This window comes from Homo sapiens, chromosome 2, assembly GCF_000001405.40.
Source record: "Homo sapiens chromosome 2, GRCh38.p14 Primary Assembly".
In the NCBI taxonomy this organism is placed as follows: Eukaryota; Metazoa; Chordata; class Mammalia; order Primates; family Hominidae; genus Homo; species Homo sapiens.
Window position 1 is genome coordinate 162,265,706 of NC_000002.12, and position 25,491 is coordinate 162,291,196.

At 35.7% G+C, this 25,491-nt stretch overlaps 1 protein-coding gene across 2 annotated transcripts in view, besides 1 other annotated feature; it reads right to left on the reverse strand.

The window, feature by feature from the left end:
* Positions 219 to 388: an enhancer, noted in NCBI's record as "experimental_55125 CRE fragment used in MPRA reporter constructs". NCBI's record gives its function as "activates a minimal promoter by MPRAs in K562 erythroleukemia cells, with activity observed for both the introgressed and non-introgressed 2:163122519 variant alleles {active_cell/tissue: K562}" and the evidence as "EXISTENCE:reporter gene assay evidence [ECO:0000049][PMID:34662402]".
* Positions 1,369 to 25,491, reverse strand: part of IFIH1 (interferon induced with helicase C domain 1) — a 51,611-nt gene continuing 27,488 nt past the window's right edge. For both annotated transcript variants that reach the window (NM_022168.4, XM_047445407.1), the window contains 12 exons: positions 22,430 to 22,650; positions 16,661 to 16,871; positions 15,623 to 15,840; positions 14,291 to 14,407; positions 12,500 to 12,623; positions 11,710 to 11,988; positions 10,982 to 11,241; positions 8,090 to 8,239; positions 6,521 to 6,682; positions 2,382 to 2,572; positions 1,774 to 1,864; positions 1,369 to 1,674 (listed from right to left, as the gene is read on the reverse strand). In NM_022168.4, the coding sequence (NP_071451.2) occupies positions 1,495 to 1,674; positions 1,774 to 1,864; positions 2,382 to 2,572; positions 6,521 to 6,682; positions 8,090 to 8,239; positions 10,982 to 11,241; positions 11,710 to 11,988; positions 12,500 to 12,623; positions 14,291 to 14,407; positions 15,623 to 15,840; positions 16,661 to 16,871; positions 22,430 to 22,650 (2,204 nt within the window). In that variant the 3' untranslated portion in view covers positions 1,369 to 1,494. The remainder of the gene's footprint in view (positions 1,675 to 1,773; positions 1,865 to 2,381; positions 2,573 to 6,520; positions 6,683 to 8,089; positions 8,240 to 10,981; positions 11,242 to 11,709; positions 11,989 to 12,499; positions 12,624 to 14,290; positions 14,408 to 15,622; positions 15,841 to 16,660; positions 16,872 to 22,429; positions 22,651 to 25,491) is intronic.

Genomic DNA, 25,491 nt, shown 5'->3' on the forward strand with positions numbered 1-25,491 from the left:
TTCAAAACTACTGTAATATCAACTCAACTAATCCATCAAAGCTTCAGAAGAATGTTCTTTTCACACCCTCCAACATTTTGTTTCTTCTTAGTCACAGGAGGTAAATGTTCCCTTGGAGCAAGCCATCTGTGAGACTTGCTAAGTTTTGGTTAAAATGGTCAATTGTGGCTTCTGTCTGAATCATGCGGCTCTTCCTTGTCAAAAGAGGCTGCTTTTCTACTGGGAGAATTGTCCGTAGTGTTCTGTTGGGGGCAGAGGCAGACATTTTTCTCTTTATTCTCTAATAACACTCAGCATCTGCTCCCTGCTAACTCCAGTGTGAATCCTAGAGTGGGAGGTGAACGGCTGTCCAGGGACACGTGTAATCTTGTTGGCATTAATGGTCAGCCTGGATTTAGCCACTACTCTGTCATTAGGTAGTTCTGCAACATAGTGTTATGTTTGTGGAAGGGAAGGCCTAGGAAGGAAGCCTTAAGCTACTTGATGCTGCTTCTTAACTGGTCTTTAATGGTACTTCACAGTTTTTAAAGTACTTTCCTATGATATCATTTAGTTGCAAAGACTGGGCAAGTGATGTAGGAGGCAAAGCTCTAAGATGGTCCCCACGATTCCCACTGGCTGGGGTGATTCCCTGAATAATCCCTTTGCGGTGAGTGTGGGCAGGACCTACGGATATGATGAGACAGTCACTTCTATGGTTACAGTTAACCTATCTAAGACTCCATCTGAGCAGACTTGAGAGAGAGATTCTTCTTCTGACCATGAAGAAGCAAATATCTGTGCTGGGAAAGAGGCTTGAGCATGCTGTGTGGTAGGGGCATTGCTGGAGCTGGGAGCGATCCCCAGTGGACAGACAGCAAAACAGCCATCTTAGTCAGACAGCTGCAAGGAAACAAACTCTGCCAAAACTCTGAATGAACTTGGAAGTGGATTCTTTCCCCAGTGCCTCCAGATGAGAACACAGTCTGGCTGACACCTCAATTTCAATTTTGTGAGACCCTGAGCAAAGAACCCTGCCTTTCTGACCAACAGGACATGTGTTATAATTAATGATTGTTGATTTAAGCCACTACCTTTGTGGCAATCTGTTATAGAGCAATAGAAAATTAATAAAAAGTAAAACTAGAGAATGTTATGACCATTTCATCGATAAGGAGACTGGTTCAGAAAGATGAACTGATTTGCCTAATTTTATTCTGAAAATTAGTGACAGAACTGAGACTGGTACTTTGGATTCTCATTTGTACTTCAGCATTCTTTCCACAGGACTATAATGCTCCACACTAATGAGAATTATTGGTAGATTTTCCTTACCTCTGCCCAACAATAAGATGGATAATGCATAATATATTGTGTTCTTAAAAAGAGTTCAATGCAGAGTAAAACAATCATTTTATTGATTCTTATGTCAGTTCTGTAGCATAATGAATACATTAATCATAATCATATTAAATGTTTAACTGATAGTATTTTAAAAGAATCTTCAATCAAGTGCTAATCCTCATCACTAAATAAACAGCATTCTGAATAGTCAAGATTGGGAAATGTGATAGGTAATTCTACCCACTTTTTGTATTGTTTCTTTGTTGAATTATTTTTGAAAACCACTACAAAATTCCTTATTTTGAGACAAGGCAAATCTAAGCCTTTGTGCACCATCATTGTTCCCCAAGCCTGGAAAACAAAAGAGAGAGCAAGAGGAAAATTAAATGTACATGCAATTAAACATTCCTGTTGGCTAAAGTAAAATCTGGCCCACAGCAATTTACTCACCTGGCCACATTTGCAGATGATTTCACCATTTATTTGATAGTCGGCACACTTCTTTTGCAGTGCTTTGTTTTCTCTTACAATGTAAAGTTCCCTATAAGTATCAAAGGGAAAGAATCATCATGGAGAACTGACAAAATACCAGTGTGTAGTTCATGGGTTATTGGACCTGGAGCTCATCCGCATGCCTGCGGTATTCTACACGGCATTCCTTCCTTCCCTCCTGCTTCCCAGGCTTGTTATTGCAACTAAGGCAATGCTTCTCTTCTACACATACCTCTCAAGGGGCATGTTGCCTTTCATAACTTCTTTCAAGTCTGTTGGTTATATTAACTTGACTTTAGTTGTTCAAAAATTTGAGAACAAATGATGAGCATACAAAAATACGTGCCTTGGATCAAAATGGCTTTGGTTCTTACACTTCTCTTTTCCTGCCCCAGTGCAGTTTATTTAAAACATAGACATTTAAAATAGGAATATAATTGAGAGGCTAAAGGAGAGGAAGTTGTAAAATAAATGAATCTCATTTGCACTATTTTGAAAGAACATTTACAATGCAACCTGCTTCACCCCTTGTGGAAAAATGTAAAAATGGGTCTTTCTGGACTCACTTGAATTCTGGGGTCATATTGACGTGATGCATTTTCTCAATTACATGGATATCTTCCCCAGAACAGGCTAGCACACTGCAGTTTTTGCAAAGGAAAGTTATTAGTGATGGGTTATTCTTGTAATGCTTGGCAATATTTCTCTTGGTTTTCATTTTCTTTTCCATTATACTTTGCATCTGTAATTCCAAAATCTGGACAGAGAAAGGAATAGTTAGTGGTTTCAGGTTTGTTTTCTTTTTTCAGTTTCATAGAAGTAAGTCTCCTGAAATTTGGAGGTCTTAGTTGTGAAAATATACCCTTAGCTTATGGTCTAGGAAATAAAAATAATGAGGTAATGACCCCCCAAAGAATTTGGTATATAATCATCTCCTGTAACCATGAAAATGTGCAGTCTTCAGGTATTCAAAAAGTAGCCCATTCCATTTCAGAAAAGTTCTATTGTGAGAAAGTCCTTAGCAATATTCAACAAAAATTCTCTGTCTAGCCTACCCATTTGTTATTTATTTATTTATTTATTTATTGAGATGGAGTCTTGCTCTGCTGCCCAGGCTGGAGTGTGTTGGTACTATCTCGGGTCACTGCAACCTCCATCTCCTGGGTTCAAGGGATTCTTCTGCCTTAGACTCCCAAGTAGCTGGGATTCCAGGCACCTGCCACCATGCTCAGCTAATTTTCATATTTTTAGTAGAGATGGAGTTTTGCCATGTTGCCCAGGCTGATCTCAAATTCTTGATCTCAGTGATCCACCTGCCTCAGCCTCTCAAAGTGCTGGGATTGCAGGTGTGAGCCACTGCGCCAGCCTACCCATTTGTTTTAATTCTGTTCCATAAAATAGGTCTAAACTTCCTTCCACATGGAATCTCTTTACTAAACACTGTTATTACATTACCAAGTCTTCTCTAATCTATGCTAAGCACCCAAATGCCTTTAATCTTTTTTCATGCTTTATAATTTTCAGACCCTTCACCATCTTAATCAGTCTACTCTTTACACATTTGTAGCAGAAACCACTAGTTTTTCATTCAGTGTCCATTTTTCCTAACAGAACCATAATTTTATTCTGGGTGGAAATATGCTAGCTAAATGACTACATTTCCAAACCAGCAGTCAATGACATGTAAAAAGCTGTTGAGTGGAATTTTCAGAAAATCTTCTTAAAAATTAGATAGCTGGCATGTGTACCTTTCGCCCTTTCCATTCTCCTCTTACTTCCTGCCTAGAATGAGGATGTGGCAGCTGAAATTCTAAAAGCCATCTTCGACCATGAGAATGAAAGCCCAATGCTATAACAGCATAAAAAGGAGAGAAAAGGCCTGGATTCCTCATAACTTCATGGAGCCAATACTGCCTAGATTCCTTCTGTGAGAGAATATGCCCATCAACCTCTTTATTCTATGCTCTGTGACTAGCAGCAGCACTTATTTTATAATGGAAATAATCTAGTTTATGTAACATATGAAAGTTGACATAGGGACTGAACAGTGTTTATACCAACACAACTTCACGGTAGAAAAATCTGGTTCTTGAATAATTTACCGCCAAACTGACCTCTCATAGATGACATATTTATATTAAATTATGGAAGAATTAATTGTTTTCTTTAAGACCGAGGGAGAAATTTTCAGTAAAAGTAAGTCATCAGTGCAGTTGAACAAAGCCCATCTCTTTGGCTTCTAACTCTACATTTTAGATCTCCCTTCAAGGCAGCCATATATAGCATAGAAAAGAGAATAAAACCTTGCAAGCAAGCCTGGAGGCTATATAATAGATTAATCAGACAAGTACCAAGATTAATTTCCTATGTAAATTATAGCAAAATAATACACTGAAATATTTTTCCCTAAAAGTTTTAATAGGTTACTTTTATAAGACATTTACAGTTCAATGAGCTGATAAGGTAATTATAGGATCACATACATGTGGGAATTAAGAAATGTGTATGAATGAGTCAGAAAAAAAATAAAGCCAAGGTAAGTGTATGGATTTGTAATCAGGACATCAGAAGCTAAAAGACTAACTCTAAAATAGTAAAGGAATTTGAAGTAACTAGAGGGGTAAACAAACAAAAAAAAGAACTCATAATAAATATACAGGAGGCACAGCTACAATCAGCCTAAGTCCAAATAAAGTGTAATAATGTAGCAAAAAAATTGAATCAATGCTAGAGAAAAACATTTATGATGATCAACTTGCTCCTAGAAGTCTGATTTAATTTTAAGAAGCTCTGTTATGTTTAAACTGTGTTTATGACATGGAAGAAAGATTTCATCTTATCTGTCAATTCTCATCATTCATTAGTGGTTGTCTGAAGATTGTGTTGAGAAAGATGCTCAAATTAGAAGAAAGTAAACATCTTCCCAGTAGCAATGTTTTCTACAGGCTTTGAACAGATTACTGGTGGCATGTAGCCCTCCTTCCCCATTGCCACTCCTACTCTAAGTTCATCTACCTGAAGTAGTTTTAGGAGGGCAGGTTTCTTGGCCAAAGGAGACCTAAAAATATAGTCCATTCTGGGGCACCCAAAGGGACAGAGTCTTATTCTAAAGAATGTCTGGAAGAATTTGACCCTTAAACTCCAGAGATTGTCCTAGTGTTGACCCCCAAAAAACTACTCTTAAAACATCAGTCTTTGTAAACATCTACTTGATTAATTCTCTTAGGACATTAACTGGGAGGCAGTAACTTTCCAGTGGCATAATTTGGTGACAAAAGTTTGATTTGATACTCTAAAATATTTGCTTTGCCTTGTATTTAAAGGGGTTTTAAAATAAAGTTTTGTGCAGAAACCTGGTCAGGAAACCTTGGAGTTGGTAATAGCAATGCACACCAATTTGAAAGCATCCCTTTAGTGAAACTCTATTTAAGGTAGAGCCAATTCCAATGTTAAGAAACTAACATTCACACCCATATGCAAGGGTGTGAATTTTCTTCTAAATGGATTGTTTGCTATTATAGTAGTTACAGTTTTTAATTCAGTGGTATGGGGGATTTCCTGAAATACTATAGAAATACATTCTTTCTTCACTGCATTCCTTTGCACAACTCAAATAACTGTGTGTTAGTAAATTGAGATGTAGCTAGATGACATATTCTGTATTTTCTTATCATTCAGATGCAGCTTCCCTGTCACTCCTTCTAAGAGACCTTCCTCAACCACCCAGTTGAAAGTATCCATCTAGTCTATGCAGCCATAAAAAAGGATGAGTTCATGTCCTTTGTAGGGACATGGATGAAACTGAAAACCATCATTCTGAGCAAACTATCACAAGGACAGAAAACCAAACCCCGCATGTTCTCACTCATAGGTGGAAATTGAACAATGAGAACACTTGGACACAGGGCTGGGAACATTACACACCAGGGCCTGTCGTGGGGTGGGGGGAGGGGAGAGGGATAGCATTAAGAGAAATACCTAATGTAAATGACAAGTAAATGGGTACAGCACACCAACATGGCACATGTATACATATGTAACAGACCTGCACGTTGTGCACATGTACGCTAGAACTTAAAGTATAATAAGAAAAAAAAGAATTTCAAAAACTACTAAAAACAAGAAAGTATCCATCTAGTCAGTTGTTTCATATCATCCTATTCTAATTCTCTTCACTTATCTTGATATATTATATTTCTTGTCTTTTAATGTTTGTTTACTGTTTCTGTCCTCCAAACTTCACCAGGCACACACTAGAAATATAAACTTCGTGCAGCAGGAGTCTTATGTGTTTTGTTTCCTCTGTTGGCTGTTCCTATAAGGTTACCTGGCACACAGTAGGCGTTTCATCTACATTTCTGAAATTAAAAAACTGTGCCTTTACAAACAAATTGGATCAAACCAAAATTACCATGTTGGATTGAATCAGTGAGTTGCAGCAGTCTTTCTGGAACAAGGCAGGCTAAATTTATATTATCCAAATTTATGGTTGGTTTTACTGGAATGAGGAATGGCTCCCTGATAATTTCCTGCCCACCATGGATCTTGATTCTCTGCATGTGAATCTGGATTAAGCACAGTTCACTAAACAGAAACTTATAATTCAGCACAATTTTTGTCTGGAGAATGAGTCACAGAGATATCAATGGCAACCACATGCCGCCATTTTTAAATGAAAATCAAATTCAGAGGTGACCAACAATACCTTATGAGCATACTCCTCTGGTTTCATATTTTGAACACAATGTATAGCTTTATACATCATCTTCTCTCGGAAATCATTAACTGTCTCATGTTCGATAACTCCTGAACCACTGTGAGCAACCAGGACGTAGGTGCTCTCATCAGCTCTGGCTCGACCACGGGCCTGAAAACACAAATAAATCAAGTAAATGAAAGGGTACGTTGTGATACAAATCCTCCTGGTTTTTTCTGGGAATGATATTCTTGCTCAGAATGAAATGATATTGGGTTGTTCAGCATGCCAGTCTTCAAATGGGTAAAGTTAGTAAAGTTAGTTATTAATCCATTACTTGTAAGTCAGCTCTTTGAAACTTATAATATGCTTTAATACAGAAAAAGTGTTCTAGAGTGATGATGGTTAGGCCTCAATGACATAATATCATCCTGTCCAGGCTTTTTGCTCTCAGAACTTCTCTCTCAAACTATGAGAACCACGATCAATGACTTGGACTGAGGAGTCGTCTTTCTTGGTAGGAAGCTGGGAGGAATGAATGGAGAGAAGGGTCATCTCTGACCTTGACACTAGGGCTGGTGAGAAGGCAGGTCAGTTTCTGGCATCCTACATTACATTCTTAGCACATTTTCCCATGGGAACATATTTAACATGGTGATAACTTTCTACAAGCCTCTTTATGAAAGTGATATTCAGGTATATTTTGATTAATAGAAACTTCTGTGGCCTGGCCCAGGAGCCTATCAACTATAAAAGTATCCTCAAGGAAAAATGTATTCTAAGTTTGATTACTAAGCTTATCACTGACTTACAAATAGACTCCTGAAATAAAATTATTTGCTAATTTGATGGCAGTCTGGTTATCTTAGTCTTCTATGACTTGCCTTTTATTCAAGGATGCAATTTAAGTTATTTAAAAATCCCTTTAGTTAATTTTATAGGAAGAATAGTGTATCTATTAATCAGCATAACACCTATGCCTACTCAACAGGTTACAATAATGCCATTAACATAGGTGGGTAAGAGATAAAGTGAAATCTGAATGAAAACAGAACATTTCACTCTTTTATTTATTTTTACATTTATAAGTCTGCCCCCAACCAACATTTTATCATGAAAACTTCTAAACACACAGAAAATTGGAAAGGATAAGGGAAGAAAATGCAGAAACAGCAGGGCTCCCTCAGGTTTGGGCATGTTACTTCATCAGACATTTGTGGGACAGTGTACTTTAGATTCCTGGTCCAGCTGGGGGCTCACAGACATCCTAGGAAAGAGGAGGCTGCTTTTGACTCTTACAAATGGGGCTAGTGTCATGGTCCTGGAAAGCCTTAGGGTACAGAAATAGCTAAAGAGGAGTTGTTGTTTAAACATACAACAGGTATCTGGTTATTATATGAATTGACAGCAATATGAAAGGCAACAGTGCACAGCATTTTAAAAATGCTCTTTTAACAGGAAAAAGGCTTTGTTTTAAAAACTAAAAAGATGTTTTTGCTGTTTAACTAAAAGAAAGCAATTAAAATAGGAACACAACAAATAAAAATTAACATAGTAAGTAGAGGTATTTGAATGTACCTGGACCATGGCTATTTCATTGGTGACGAGACCATAACGGATAACAATGTTACATTCTTTAATATCCAGACCTTCTTCTGCCACTGTGGTAGCGATAAGCAGATTTATTTTTCCAGTGCGAAATTTACTAATGACTTCTTTTTGTTCATTCTGTAGAAACATTTTAATAAATTAAATTTTGTGATGCTAAACACATTAAAATCTTCTAATTAGAGGAAGAAATAATAAATTGCAACTGGTCAGTGTAAATCAAAGGATTAGATCATACATGGATTTGTTGCCATCTGTTTTTGGCATTGAACAAAGACATAATGGTGAGACAACATTTGATTTCCAATCTGGGATTACCACACAATAACAAAAATATTTCCATCATCCAGTCTGGAGGTGGGAAGACCACATTTTATGCCAAGGAAATAAATTGATGGGTGACTCCAGAGGAAGAAAGGAGGAGCTGTCGGTTGAGAAGAGGATATGACAATCAGAAGCTAAAATGGGCTTTTTTCCCCCACTACATTAACTTCAGAATCTTTGCTATTTAGAGGATAAGATGCAGAGATGCTTTGATATATTGTTTTCAGTCACAGAGAAAATGCACACTGTATATGCATTTGGTCACTTTAAGAATCATTTGAGTTAGAAGCTATGGAATATTCCCAAAAGGACACAAGAGAAACTGAAAACATCAGCTGCATCTAGGGAGGGGAGCTGGAAGACTAGAGGTCAGTGGTATGCCTTGTGCCTCATTAATTTTGAATGAGGTAAATATATTATCAATTCAAAGGGACAATATAAATAAAAATGAAAGAAGAGGTTATGCAACTGTAAATAAAACTATTTTCAAATGAAAAAACTCTGAATTTTGAAAGTCAATATAAATAAATTAAAATATGACCTCTCATCCTTACATGGGAGAAATGAGTGAGCACAAACCTAGCTTGATATGGACAATGTGGTTTTATTTTCATAACCACTCTCATCAAAGCTGTTGGTCCAGTTGGCATTTGGTGCACATCCACACTGTCTATTGCCCCCATACATTAAACAAAAATAAAGCTGCCAGACCAAAAGTATGTTCTTCCATCCCCTTCCCTTTCTTCTCAGAGGCAGTGTGAGTCCTTATTTGACTCCTACTCCTAACTGTCGGAGAACCCTGTAGAAAGGCCTCTCTTGAGTCTTCTCTGAAAATTTCTCCCTCCGGCCCTCACATCTCCCGATAAAAACTTACATGTTCTTGGATTTTAGCAGAAGATGCCTGTGTCTTAATTTGAAGGAGTAACTTTAATAACAAAAATTCCAGACAGTGTCAGATCTTCAAGTCACATCACATAGATGCCTAACACCATTGCTAAGGAGTTTGTCCACCCCAGTTTACAAGGTGAGGATACAAGGAGTGGGGAAGGAAGGGAATATGTTCTGTATTTTGGCACACAGCCCCTTGGTTTGAAATGAATAAGGAGCAGAAAGTAGCTTGAACATAGGCTTTTCATTTGCACTCTACCTCTTTTTACAGAGAAGCTTAGCCCTCTTACAATAAAAGTCACAACGCTAAAGTTAATATAATAGAAATTTAAAAACAGAACTCATAAGAATCAACACAGAGGCTGTGAGACTGAACTTGAGTTTTTCCTGCTAGCTTTCTGGAAGCTAAGGCAAAAAGAAAAACATATAAAGCAAACTACATCTCATCAAAAAGAAGGAAGCAAACTTGTTACCCAAGGAAAACAGTACTTTCTCTGGCATTAATTTTATTGGCAATGCTCACAGGAGTGCATGTAGAGGGTATATAAAGAGTTATAGTGAACCATTTCAAGAATTTTTTTCCAGCAAACACTGAAACAGAATTAATTTGCTCCATTGGCTTGAATAGTGATAACTATAATAGAAAGGAAGTATCCATTTGTCCAGAAAGACTCAGGGTCAATGTGATTTTAGCCCTCAGAAGAATATTTTACTCTAACAAGGCATCATTGCTTCATGCATGCTTGTAATGTCTACTAGTGCCTTTTTTTCTTACCCAAGTGTTTTTTTACTATGCCCACAGTAAGCAACATGTAAACAAAGTAAAACAAAACACCTTAAAATGGAACAGAAAACCTACTTACCAGAATCCCAAATCTCTAATATATCAAATTCTTTAGTTTTTTCAAGTTTCCCTAGAGGTCTCATTCTATGTAAATATATTTTGCATAGTTCTAGTTATAACGAACACATTTTTGTGGGAGTTTGAATTTTCCACTTGATACTACATGGCAATCATTTCTGAACTTTGTTGTTAAGCTTACATGTCACTTATTTTTGCAAGGGAAACTTAGAAAGTTCTTCCAATTATTATGTGGGAAAAATGACTCCTAAAACAACACTTAACCTCTCAAAAACCACAGATTTGATTGCTATTAGCCTTAGATTTTATTTCAAGAACAGGTGTTTTATCCTGTAAATGTATTCATGGGTGGTGAGAGGATTGGTAGAAAAAGACTAAAAACAATTTGAGAAGAGTAATAACAGCATAAGAAAAGAAGTCCAGGCTGAGCGCAGTGGCTCGTGCCTATAATCTCAATACTTTGGAAGGCAGAGGCAGAAGGATGGCTTGAGCCCAGGAGTTTAAGACAAGCCAGGACAACATAGTGGGACACCTTTTCTACAAAAAAGATAAAAAAATTAGTTGGGTGTGGTGGTGCACACCTAGAGTCCCAGCTGCTCAGGAGGCTGGGGCTGGAGGATTGCTTGAGCCTAGGAGGTCAAGGGTGCAGTGAATCTTGATCATGCCACTGCTCTTCAGCCTGAGTGACAGAGCGAGGCCTCGTCTGAAAGAAAAGAAGAAGAGAAGAAGAGAAGAGAAGAAGAAAAGAGAAAGAAAAGAAAAGAAGTCGTCCAAAAGGATATTTATACCTGTGTCATGGGTTTGAACTCACTGCTGTGTCCAGCTCCAATCAGATGGTGGGCTTTGACTCCTACTTCAGCAAATTTTTCATTTTCAGTAATCCACTGGGAAAGCGCATATGCACTCTGTCGTGTTTTTGTAAAGATTATTCCTCGTGCTGATTCCTCAGTCCTAGTATATTGCTCCATTATGGTATTTCTTAATTTGGTCAGCTTTTCATTTTCATATTCTGGGTTTTCAGCCAGCCTTTTCAACATTTTATTGTTTTCTTTAAGAAATAATTAGAGTTGATATGTTAACAAGCTTGATTTAGCCACTCCACAATGTACAGATATATCAAACATTTTGTACACCAAAAATATACAGTTTTATTGATTAAAAATTAATTAATTTAAAAACTATTTGGAAGTATAAATTAGTAAAACATACAACGAATTACACTAGAAGGTTTCATGAATTGTGGCTCATCTACAATCTTGCGCTATATCTAATAATTAGGATGGTTTAATAAATAAATTCATTACAATTGTCTTGACAATAAAACTGAATGACCAAATGACTGACTGTGATCATACAACTGGTAGCTAATCTGGTCATATCATTAGAAATAGTTCCAATCTGAGTGGGATTTCTTCTTTCAAAAGATATTTCTCTTTTTGGAGAGCTTATGAGAAGCAGTAAGTTCATGTTGAAAAGGTAAATGAATGACACCAGTATATGTTACTTTGAATCTTACCAAAAAATAAAGTCATGAGAAATCTATCTGTTTCATCCAGTTTCAAAGGTTTCTTTAAATCATCCTCATCTTCATCACCATCACAATACTCATCATCACCACCCTCATCACTATCATCTTCTATGACTGCAAACTTCTTATCTTTCTCTTCATTATAGAAAGTTTCAAGATGAGTATACGCATCTATCATTCGAATTGTGTCATTAATTTGTAGGGCCTCATTGTACTTCCTCAAATGTTCTGCACAAACACGTTCTTTGCGATTTCCTTCTTTTGCAGCTGTGAAAAAATATATTATGTAAGTGAAATAATAAGCATATAAACCCCCTAAAATTGTGCCATGGACTTGAATATATGTTACTAACTGCAAAACTGGCTTCACCTTGGTTTTAAAATGGGCAAGTTAAGGCTCAAAATGTGTCCTGAGCTCTGAAACAGGGCAAGTTTTCCAACTCCTAGACTTGCTGCTTGAGTTCTGCCTCAGCAAAAACATGTAGCTGATGCACAGAGAAATGGCATGAAAATATATTAGTTGAGTTTGCCTTTGGAGACAGAGCTATTAAAGTTTATCTCAAGACTCTGGAGACAAAGAGAAAATTGGATAGCATTGGAATCTCTCTCCTTAGAAAAGGAATTAGAACATGTTTATTATGCTTGTCCTACAGAGAACACAGAAATTCTATTTGGAACTACTTTTGCTTTCCATTTTTTGGGGAATCTGTGATATAGTCATCTAAAATCTTGGTATAAACATGGGATAAACTAAGTGTTAGGTCCAAACCTAAATTACCTTTTTTTTCCATTTGAATGGCCCATTGTTCATAGGGTTGAGTTCCAAAATCTGACATTGGACTCATTTGACAATAAGTTTGAATCCTTGTCATTATTTCTAGAAGTTTCTCTTTAAATGGATCCTAAAAATAAAGTACACACTTATTCTTATGTATTCTTATTGTTAAAGGAATAACATTATCTTTGTTAGAATAATTTCTAGGTTATAATAAATCTGATTCATCTTTGTTTAGACAAAGTAACAGGTTAGTGTCCCATCACTTGTCTGTACATTTATTTTTGTCAGCTTCTCTTTTAAGCCTGCCATCAAGCCACACCCACACCAACACCCTGTTACCTCTGCTGGAATCTCCAACTTAAAAGGTTAACAAAAGTAAAGTTAATGAATTATATAAACCTTGTATGTTAAAGGTAACTTAGAAAACACATATTGCATTAATGCCACAATTATTTAGAAAGCTTACAGTGTAATTTAAGAAACATTCCTCCTTTGTAAAACTGGTTTCAGTATTATTTCGACCAAAATAAAAAGTTGAAGTAGAGTCTGAATAAAGCCAGAAATAAAGGAGTGCATGCTATATGATTCCATTTATATAAAGTTCAGAATCAGTGAAAACTCATTTTTTGTTTTAGAAGTCAAGATAGTAGTGATTCCTGGGGCATGGTGACTGGAAGGGGGAGCCAGGAGCTTTTAGGATACTGGCAGTGTGCTGTCTCTTGATTTGGATTTTGTTTACATATGTGTATTCAGTTTAGGAAAATTCAGCAATCAGTACACATATGAATTTGTACTTTTCTGTATGTATGTTATGCTTCAAGGTATATAAAAAAATTAAAGTAAGTTTAAAAAATGGCAAATTCTTTTAAAAAATGTACCTGAGAAATTTAGTTTTAAAAATCTTTATGAGTAGAAACATGCATTTAAAATTATCAAGTAAAACCAAATAAGTAACAAAAAAAGGAAAGTGAATAAAATATATTCAACTGTGCTAGTGCAGCTGGAGTAGATAGCAGTCTTTTTCAGAATTTAAAAAAAGAGATATACGGAGGCTAGTTACTAACATTGGTTTAGTGCCTACTATATTTCAAGCATTGTTTTATCTACTATGCATATTTCATATCATTTGATCCCAACATTCTTATTTTCAATGGTATTATCAAGTACATATGGCCAGAATTTGTAATGCTTTCTAAATTTTACAAAATAAAGTATTGACATAATTTACTGGCCATAATGTCCAAATTGACTCTCAGTTTATTCTTATAATTCCTGAAAAATTCATCAGAAAAGCATCATTAAAGTAAATATTTCACTTCTTTACCATTGCACTGTTTTCCTAAGAAAGTAAATATGCAAGTATGCAAATTAGATAGGATTCCCATTATCATTGCCAAATGTAATTTGATAGCAACAAAATGGCTCTGTGGAATGTCAGAAAATCAATCCTGGAATTCACGAAGAAAATTAAAAAGGCTAAAACGAACTGTCATAACCCCTCCAGCTTAGTTACACATCCCTCTGCCCATGGCCCCTCACTGTCCCTTTTAACTCATATGTACAAACAATGAATAAGCTATTCCTCATGTAAATTAGAAAACTAAAAGAGGTCTAGAGGCGAGAATTCACTGTAGTGCTTTACTGCCTAACATCAATTAAAAAAAAACCTGAAACTTGTTTGCTAAAATTTTTAAATAATATTTTTCAGATGGTCAGTATAAAATAGCCTTTGCCATCTTTCTACTGAATGTAGTATTGTCAATCAATAGATATAAAACATTAAGCCCATACTTCTCTGGTTGCATCTGCAATGGCAAACTTCTTGCATGGCTCCTGTATTTGGTTTTTCAGTTGATCAAGGTTTTCTTTAACAGTTTTAATAGTAAATGCATCAAGATTGGCACATAGCTGGAAAAGAGACATTTTTCAATATTTATGCAATTATTTTTCCCTTTCACTTTATTCAACGTAGAACTCTTTTTCATGTAAAAAATATGTAGCATTAAATTGTAGCATAAATATGTGGTATAAAATTTCATGAAAGTAATATGTAGCATTGCTTGCTAAATATAGCATTTTAACATTGTTTTATTATGGATCTCATTAACCCACAATCAGCAACATTTGTCCTAATATAGGAAAAAGGAGCTTCTAAATCAAGTTGGTGTAATAACAGAGAAAAAGGTGTATTGATATTCATTCCTTAAATTCCATTTTCCAAGTGGAAAACTGACATGGAAAGAGTATAACAATTTACCATCATTGACAGAGAATGATTTTGAGATAACCATGTTACATGAGGCATATCAAAGGTCAACTTGACATCCGTGGATCATACTACCACCTTCTTCTACACATAAAGCAGGCATCTACACATAAAGCTGGGAGCATCCTTAGTCATGTTCCTTGATTATTAGATTGGAATTAGTCCTTAATCCCAGTAATAAATTATATTTTGGAGCCTATAATTGCATCTCTGAATGTTGTGTCTACTCTACATAATTTGTATTGAATTCAACTTAAAGTAAGGGACTTAAAATTCAAATGCAATTGCCTTGGTACCAAAATACTTCTTGGGCTACTCTGATTTACTTAACACTCAAGATTAACAGTAGCACTGTATGTGGTGTTACCATTAGGGGGCAGCTGACAAGCTCATCTTTAAAGATCTTCATATCCCTATTTCCCTTTAATTTGAATTACCTAGATTCCTAGAATAACATATGAAGGACAGAAAATACGCAGTTTTGAAACTCATGGAGTAAGACTTTATTATGTGTGACAACTAGAAACTTTCATAGTTTATGCATATTTCTATATCAGGTAGATCATTAAATTTAACCATAAGAGTAGATGTTCAAAAGAAGGCATTCTATTTATCTCAACTTCCCATTAATTATATCACTCTCCATCATTTTTATGATATGATTTTGTGTTATTGATATTTATTAAGGCATATTAGTATTCTGTAGAAGACTGAGTATATTTATTGTACTAAAGCAAACAGATTTCACTTAACTGATGATCACAGCACTTGAACTCAATCTTATTTAATAAGACCAAGAAGTCCTGGCATTTGTTTTAGCTTTGCTTTCATTGGTTATACATAAAATTATGACTTACTTTTAAAATGTGTTCTTCAGCTTTGGCTTGCTTCGTGGCCCCTCCAACACCAGGTGAAGCTGTTAGTCCCAGTATCTGAGGAAGGGGAATCACTGGTTTGTTTTCTTTCTTGAGTCTATTGTTTTTCAACTTCTGCATCAAATAATGCCTCATGATGTTATTATACACTGCTTCTTTGTTGGTGTGATGACATTCATCAATGATAATGAGGGAAAAGTCTTAAAAGAAAATTCAAAGAGTTCATTTCTCCATATCAGCACACTACAGTGAGAAAATAGCTTTAGACCAGTAATTGAGCTGCCTTGGGGATGCCTTCTCTTGGGCACGACACAAGAGCAGTCCACTTTCAGTTTTTAGGAGGGAAATCTAACTATACTAGCACCTGTACACACAGACGTTCGTATATACTAATCATGAAACTCCCTGTTAGACATTCTCCTTCTTTAATAGATAAGATTCAGAAAGTTTACAGAGCTAAAAAGCGTTAGATGTGGAATTCACACCCTGGCTTATTACAAAACAAATCTCAGGATTTTACTTTTGTTCTTTAATAAAATATTTAATTTTAGGTTGGTGAATTTTATTTTTATTACATCAAGTGAAAAACACACTATTTAAAGAGGGAAAATTTTGCCTTGTTTTAACATTGCATTTAGTTATTATAAATTATTTTTATTTTTTTCCATTCTTTCTCCTACCTTCTCATCCTATACCCCATAAAAGACAAGATTTGTATTTTTATTCTATGGGAAAGGGAAGCAGATCTAACAACATTCAATAGCAAATAAAGGAACTTGTCAGAATAAATGGAAAGTCCAGCGAGTGCTTGCCTTAATAATGGTATTCTTATGCAGAATAAAGTGGTCTAATTAAAAACTTACTTTTTTTGTTTCCTCCAGGAAGTAGAAGGATTTTAATAAAACCATAAGCAATAAAAGACAATTTAAGCCACGAACATTTAAAAAATTAACAAATACAGCCTTTGTTATCATCAATATTACTATTAATTTTTTTAAAAAAATAAACACTTAAACTGACCTGACAATTGAACACCAGCATCTTCTCCATTTTCCAAGTTTAAGAGGGAGTTTTCAAGGATTTGAGCTGTACTGATAATAATATCACAGGACTTGACAACTTCTGGAAATGATATTTTCAGTTGGGTATCACCACTTAATCCAATAACACGATACCATTTCTTCAAAAATGGTTGGAACTCCTTGCGGAAGAGCTGTTCAACTAGCAGTACCTTAAAAAAATGTGAAGATTTTTTAAAAGAGAGAAAGTTAGTCGAAGCCAAAAGAGTGTTGATCAAAGGCCTGTTTGGCATCCAGCATGAAAAGAGGTGTTTACATTATCAGTGAATCAGGCATAACAACGTTCCCATCACTCCTTTCATTCATCTGTCAATAAGCACTGATTATACCCTTGTTAGGTGTGGGCATTTATGTCTGGGACACAAAGATATTTAACATATGGTTGACAACTCTGAGGAACTCTGTCTAGCTGATCATACAGACCAAGACTAAACAAAGCAAGACAAATTATTACAACACAATGTAATAATGCTCACCTAGAAACACACACAAAGTGACAGTTAAGAGAAGAAGCAACTGACGACTCAAAAAAGGGGAATTTGAAGGAATTTGAATCTAGTAAGCCATGAGTCAGTGAAAAGATAAACTGAAGCTAAGGTTGAATAAGAAATACATTTTTAAATTTGTAGAGCAGTGCCAGGTTATAAAGGGCTGCAAACATCAAGCAGAGTATTTTACATGTAGTATAACAGTTTACAGGATCCCTACAAGTTGTACTGTTGAAGTGATTTATTCCTGTTGTTTGTTTTGGATTAGACCAGAAGCAACAGGCCCACAGGACCGGAAGAATCAGGGAACCACAAGTGAGGAGTTAGGGCATTGACTAGGAGAACAGATGTGAAGTGAAGAAATGAGCTGCTGGAATAGCTGTGGTGGCTGAGAAAGAACAAACCCGAAAGTAGACCTGGCAAAAGAAGTGGAAACTTCGGGTCCTTCTCAGCTGATTCTGTATGTTATAACATCTGCTGAAGGTAGCTGGGTTGACACCTCAATGCTACACATTACTAGTCACTCAAAATACCTTCTGGATTAGGAGAAAAAATATAAGGCCATCTTGAAGGTCATATCCTAGGAAGATTTATGCAATGGAAGCCCAGCAGTGTACAATATGGGAAACAGAGAGTTGGCAGGAAGAGTTTCAAGGGCAAGCTTCAAAGAATGCCCATTATATTATTCACTCTCCATAATTCTACCAGAAATGCAATCAGTGGTTACCTTTCTCCTAGTCTGTAGGGTTTGTGTTATTCATCTTTTTACTTGAGGTAAGTCCCACTTAGGTGTTAAATAAGGAATGGCTGATCCCCCTGGCTAAAGGGAACAGCTACCTTATGAAGAACACTGGTTTACTTTATTATTTAGTGGAAATGATGGAGGCTTCCAAAAGTAGGTGTCTGGGGGGCTGGAAGAAGGGGTGGGGAAGAGTTAAAATGAAATCCATAAATTCTAAGGAAGCAAAGTGGACTTAAAATCAGTAATCAAGTTGGTGAGTGAAAGAACATTACCTTACCACAAGGTGGAAAGGGTAGAAAGAGTAAGAAGAGAAACTTTCATTTAGTTCTTTTTTTTTTTCAAAGTAAAGTCTCTCTAATCTACCTGTTACAAACACGCTTGAGAAGTTTAGAAAATGCAGACTCCTAAGTCCCACTCAAGAATTACTGAATCTAGGGACAATCTCTGGGGGGCAGAGGCTTGAAACCTTCACTTTAATGACATTTAAGCCTTTAAAATTTGAGAGTCACAGCTCTGCTCTTCTCTCTCTCTTCCACAAAGCCGTTCTTGAATCATTTTCTAGAAGTATTCTTTCCATTTCATTTATGCAAGACAGAAGGCTTCTGAGGAAAAGAATGGAAATTAAGTTTAGTGGAAAGAGACAGCATGATGCAGAGGGAAGAAAGCCCTGAAAACAGCTACTCCAGCCACTTACTTCTTTGTACCTTGGACAAGGTCTCAATCATCTTAATGCTCTCAATTTCCAGATTAATAAAATGAGGATAATGTTAACCTATTATAGGGTTGTGAAAATTAAATGAAATAGAGGATGCTGTATTGTCAGTACTAAAACTTCCACGATATTTCACCAATCCTTTTATTCTAGAAGGAGGGTGCAGTGGCAAAGGAAGACCAGTGGACTCAGAAGATAAAAGTTCGTGTCTCATTTCTGCTGTTTCTTGGCTGGATGATCCCTGAATTGCCAATTAAAGTCTTGAAACTTCAGTTTTCTGATGGGAAAAAATGAGAATAATAAAGACTACCTTATGGGGTTGCTGTGTAGATTTAATGAGATAATATATCTGAGAGTGCTTTATAAAGTGCAATAAAATATTAATTATCATATTATCAACATATATCTCTCATCTTTCTTCTAGACTGTATATTTCGTGAGGACAAGATCTACATTTGATTTGTCTTTAAATACACTCATGCTGAATGATTTAATTAAGAATCTCTGTATTATGGAGTGACATTGCACCACAAAATTCTGCCCATAAAAGGTGAGTCAAAAATCTTCAAAAGAAGCCGCACCTTCTGATGTACAGAACAAAAAGAAGTTGTCACAGGAGATAGCAGATGCTGGAAATCCTGATACTCGCTCTGGGTGGTGTTGACTTCCTACTGAAGGACACAGAGAAAGCCAGATGCAAGTCTGACATGGCTAATTGGGAGGTGTGTGGTCCTCTTGGAGCCTTTTCTTGAGATGTGACAGAGTGCCTGCCAAGACTAATCAAACCCAACTGCTACCCACTTCTGCTGAATCATATGGGGCTGCATTGCAGCATCTGAAGGAACCTGGGATTTATCTCTCATGATGTTGAAGCCCTAGATAGGAAATGGAAAGTCTGGGAACACAGGTGGTGTTTTCATTTCTCTCTGCATTCGAAGGCTATAACTTTGGAAAGGACGGAGGAAGGGAGATGAAAGTAAATGGTGTTAGAGAACAGGATTTCTTTTTTCTAGATCAAGGGTAACAATACCTTGTTGTTGGGCCAAACACAAGATTCAGGTTACTTAGACTTACTGGGCCAGAGGTGTTCTGACTCAATCAAAAAGAATTAAAACTGAAATTAATTTAAAATTCAAAAAGATGGTATAGTAAACAATTATGACATAGATGGAAGAATTAGTGGAGGGATTTCTAGTAATTCTAAGGAGAAAAACAATAGAAAAGCAATAAGGAATTAGAGTCAAGTCCCCAGGTGTCCACACAACAATGCAGTGAATGTGAATAATTAATGAGGATAAATTAATATTTAAACATAGCCATAAATGTGCATTCCGAAGAATCATGTAGATCCAATGCAATGAAAGATTCCTGGCTAGAATATAGCATTGAGAAGAGAAGGGAATATTATAGAAAGGAAGATGCATCAGACACATACAAAAATATGAGACTTGAAAAGATCAATAGTTAAAGAAATAAACCTAAGTATTTGAATTTAGGCTCAGAAACTGACTGCACAAAAATAAATTAAGAATGTTCTAGTTTAAGAGATTTTCAAATAAAAAGGAACTGAGGATTTTGATTCTATGACAAGGTCCAGATAAGTCTGTGGATGCCAGAGGCAAATGCGGTCATAAGCTGGGTGTCATATCTCATGTCTCCTACGCTCTGCACTGGTATGATCTTATCTGTAGTATTTTGCCCAACTCTGGACACCGCATTTAAGAGTGTCCCAGAAAAATGTCTGAAGGAGTATGAGCACTAGGAATGATGACAGGTTTAGAAACCATGTTATATGGAAAACAGTTAAAGGAACTGTGGACATTTATTCCAAGGAACAACAAAAAAAAGTAACTTAGGAGCCACATGATGCTGCCTTGTCTATGTGAAGGGCTGTCATTAGGCTGGAGAATTAGGACTTCGTGTGGTTGCAGAGGAAGGAACTCTAACCGGTGATTGTGGGATTCCAGAGAAACAGATTTGGATGAATACAAATAGGGCTTTCTAAGAGTGTCAGTGTCTTGTTAGTAGGGGGACCTCCTTGATATTAGGAAGTTACCCTGCAGAAGTGAGAGAACCACTCTGCAAAGGAAGAAAGCTGAATCTCGAAGCCCCTTTTCAACTCTATTAGCCTATGTCCCTGTGACCAGATAAGGGAAATAAAGGAAGTAGATGAATTAAAACTAACTCCTAGGTGTGGGGGCTGCATGCTTTGGAGGAGGTGGTATTACTCACAAAGAGACAGGTAAATGGGGAAGAGGAGCCTTTGGGAGGGTAGATGGTGAGGCTGAGTTTGAGAAAATGGCAGATGCTCAAATGGTTTCAAAATTATCAGTTTAAGTAGCTTTGAATCCAGTTAACTTGGTTCTTTTCTTTGGATTTGGCACTTAAAAGCCTCCCTGGTTATGTTACTTAGTTTCATGAGTTATGAAGGTGAAGAGAAAGGAGCAGGAGAAAGCTAGTATTTAAGAGTAAAAGCAGGAGTCATTACTAGGCCATATATAATCCAATTGAAATTTCAGAGCAGGGTAGTTATTATTTTGTTCATTTTGCAGATGAAGAAATTAAAGTTAGAGAAGTTACTAATTTGTCTAATTCAAAGTACCGGTAGGTAGAAATAGGATTCAAACCTATTTCATTTAAAAAAATAATATCCTGTACAAAGGGAATACATATGCAAGTCTATCGGCAAACAAATTTGAATGTGTCACCATTACCAGCAAAATAAATAAAAGTGTTTTAATAGTAAGTATACAAGTATAAAGGAGAGCTCTTTGGACTTAGCAGATGCACACAAAATGCATTTGGAACTACATGATAGGAATCATTCAAATCATGGATTCTAAGTACTGAAAAACAGGATGTAACTAAAACTTTTAGCATAATAGAAATAAAAAATAGAATATTTTACAGTCTACTGCTTTTTTTTATAAAGGAATAGATAAGAACAGAAAAAAGACTTTCTGATCAAGGAAAAGTATGCTCATTTTTATTCCATAAAATAGTAAATATTCATATCCCCAATTTGTATATTTATAAATTAATAAACTGTCATTTATCTGAATAAAGCTCAAATGACTAGATTTTGTTTTACGGTGAAGCAGACATATTTACTTATGAAGATGGCCTTCAAATACCCTAAGATATAAATTATTGAAGGAAAACTTCAGTTGCATTTAATGTAATATGTGTATATTTTATATATATATATGTATACTTCTTGAGCATTTTAAAATCTATTTAACTTGATGTAGATACCAAACCTTCACTTAATTTTATCTCCAAACCACATTATATGTATTCTGGAGAAAGAGGACTTGCCATCTTTGACTAAGGGTCAACAGCTAAAGAGAAAGTAAAAAACAATATTTGATCCTTGATTCCAGTGATATTTTGGGGTCATTCATATTCATTTGCAATGATAAATTAGCTAGTTAACCTTAAAGTATATCTGGGTAAATATAACCTGTGACCAGATAAGGGAAATAAAGGAAGCAGATGAATCAAAACTAACTCCCAGGTGTTGGGGCTACATAAGTTATAGCTATTTGGTATAATGTCCTAGTTTTATTGAAAAATTTCTATTTTCAGGTTCATCACTTAGATATTACATATACCTAAAAAAGATTAAAGATAAAATAAAGAGCTTATTTTGACATTACTCTTAATTAAACTAAACATGTGTGAGTCAATGACACAAATGCCATCATATAAAAGTTTCAGAATAATACAATGAAAATGATCAACTAGTGTTATGTGTTCTTTGAATACCTTATTGACAAGAACTATAACTTTTCCAGGCTCAGATGCTTTTTTCTTCTTGTCTAAGTGATCCTTGGCAATGTAAACAGCCACTCTGGTTTTTCCACTCCCTGTAGGGAGGCAGATGATGATATTCTTCCCTTCCAAGGCTGGCTGGGCAACTTCCATTTGGTAAGGCCTGAGCTGGAGTTCTGGCTCCGGGGATGCTCTTGCTGCCACATTCTCTTCATCTGAAGAAGGTTGAAAAGAAAAATAAGAGAAGGGACAACAAAATAACAGAGCTTAGGAAGCCTGAAACTGAACGTAGGCCTCTTGTGCTTTAAACTCCTTTTCACATGTGGTCCAAACCAATTCATTTTCTCTTTTCTGTACCAATTAATGTCTGCTCTCTGCATCTGCAGAATACAACACAGGCTCCCTCTCACAGAAGGAGTCTGGGGGTGTGGGGGTGCAGAGGGAGTCAACTAATTAAGAGGACTGGAAGGAGCAACATGGGGGAGTGTTTTCACAGAGTGGGTGAAGCCAAGGCGAATTTGTAGAAAGGGCTGTGGTGCGGGATTGGCAGGTCTAGTTGTTAAGGCATCAGACTTCCCATTTCTTTGTGGAGCCACTATGCCCTGCTTGTTTCACTTAGCCCTTCCACCTACAAAATCAAGAGGAGCTGAGAAAGTTGGAATCATTAGTCCTCCCAATTCCGTATTTCCCCTTTTTTTAATTGCAAAGAAGGTATTATGGCTGATACTATTTTCTTTCGTTTGTAGAAACTTTATCTGACAACCAAATACCAAAAAGCACACACACACACACACACACACACACACACACACACACAGACACCCTATCTATCTCAAGTTCCTTTTTCCATCTGAGGCAACTACGTTGTACAGAAGTGTTATTTAGAGAGTAGAGGAAAAAACTCTTCCTATGCTAGCCTTTAATTGGTAGGTTTTCCTTGAAAGGTAAAAATAATTTTGTTGGTTTAAACTAAATCATGACTACTTTTGCCATTTATTTGTGAATTGTTATCTTTATTACTTCCTTATGTTTATGGCTCCACATATTCCAACTTTTTCTAAAATCCAAAGTATAATATATTAAAAATATTTTCAATTAACATGGATTTTAAATTTAAAATACTGATAAAATAAGTTCTAACATAAACTTTATGTATATTAAAATAAAATTATTATAATATGTCTTGTTTTAGATAGAATATATTTTATTTAGAAGTGACCATATTGACCTATATTACCAGGGGAAAAAGATCAAAAAATGCATAGCTTATAATGTGAAATGAAGTAACATAAATATTATACCAATTTAAAAGCCCATTTTATGACTTATATAATAAGAAGAAAAAATGAAATAACAGTATTTATCCATATTTCATCACACATGAAATAACTTCTTTTTCTTATCAATGTTTGCAATAAAACTAAACTAACATAATCCCATTAACTTCAAAAAACTTGCTGATGGCTCCATTTCAGCCCCTGGATAATTCTATTTGAGTGAGTTTTAACTTGTTGTGATAGTACTATCTGAACAGGTAGGAAAATTCACACCAAATACCACTTAGGATCATCTACTAACCTGGCAGGAAATTTGCCTTTTGTATGGATGAGTAAAAACAGATGCAATACATTTAAGCTATCGTTGGATCATCTGCTGATTCATTCAATATGATTTTTATGAAAAACTCATTTAAAATCACCAGCATTTAAAATATACCTTTATAAGTTTCCATGCTTGTTTTGAACTCTACAATATTTACAATAGTTCATCTTGTATTATATTTATGTAAGGCTCTGATTTATTTAAGAACAATGTTAGCCCTCTGTAGCTTTCATAGACTATCAAAACCATGATATTTCACCTCTATTAGGATAGTTTGTCATCTAACTTTTCCAAAAGAGCCAGTATATTTGCAAAGGAAGATGCATTATAAAGTGTCTAAACAAAGACCCAGAAATTTACTACTGCTAAATTTTTGTTTGATCTAGGAAGTTTGTTAAAATATAGGAATAAATCCTCTTTGTTTAATTTCATCTGAGTTTCATTTTTGCGTAGATTTTAAGAATACTAATAAAATGCTCCTTCCTTCATAATAGTTGCAGAATAAACTATTAAAAGAGTACATTTTAATAATAATTTCCCCCATTTTTCATGCTTACTACTATATCCTTGAATAAGAAATATTACAAAGAGAAAGATATAGCAATTTCCTAAGTCTCTTTCCCGAGAATCCAGAACCAAATCAAATGAGTAAAATATTAATATTACTCATGCATTCTAATCATTTATTAAGCTGATACATTTAAGAAGAGCGAGAATGTTAAAAGGACTATTGTGTTTACAATTTAACTTCAGAACTGAAGTCATGAGGTTTTACTGCTACTTAAGTAGGCATGTACCACAAATTTATTCTTCAGTCAATATTGACTGGACACCTATTATATGCCAGGCACTCTCAATAATATAGTTGTTGTCCTGAAGGACTTTAGAGTCTAGGACACTATACCGCTGTTATGCACACAAAAATACCTGGTTAGACAGATAGCTCAATAATCTTCCATATTTTTGATTTAAGACTAGGAGATTTGATAGGTGGCCCTAAGTTTAAAAAGAAGCACAGTGTGGATACAGGAAAAAATTAGAGTTGGATTCAATGTGAGACTAGCATCCAAAGAATAAAAGCTGGGTGAGTGCTAAATATTCAGCCTGATTCTTGCCTTATCACATCCTCTGACACAGGGATGGAAGAATTTATCCACAGAAGCAATGAAAAGAGAGTTTTCTCTTCTGTGTCAGCAGAAGGAGAGAACTGGGCTGGTATCAATGAGCCAGGAGCCAATTTCCTTTATAAAAGAAATGTTTGGGTTTTTGATTGTTTGTTGTTTGTTTGTTTTTGGCTTTCTCTGAAAAGCATAATCAATTAAATGAAAATAGCAGTTAAAATATGCACAAGCTTTGAATAACACTGTGCCCTCCCTCTACAACAAGTATTGATTAAAGACCTTAAAATTATATTCTACCATATAAATGGTCAAAAAAGAAAATCAAATAAGGCT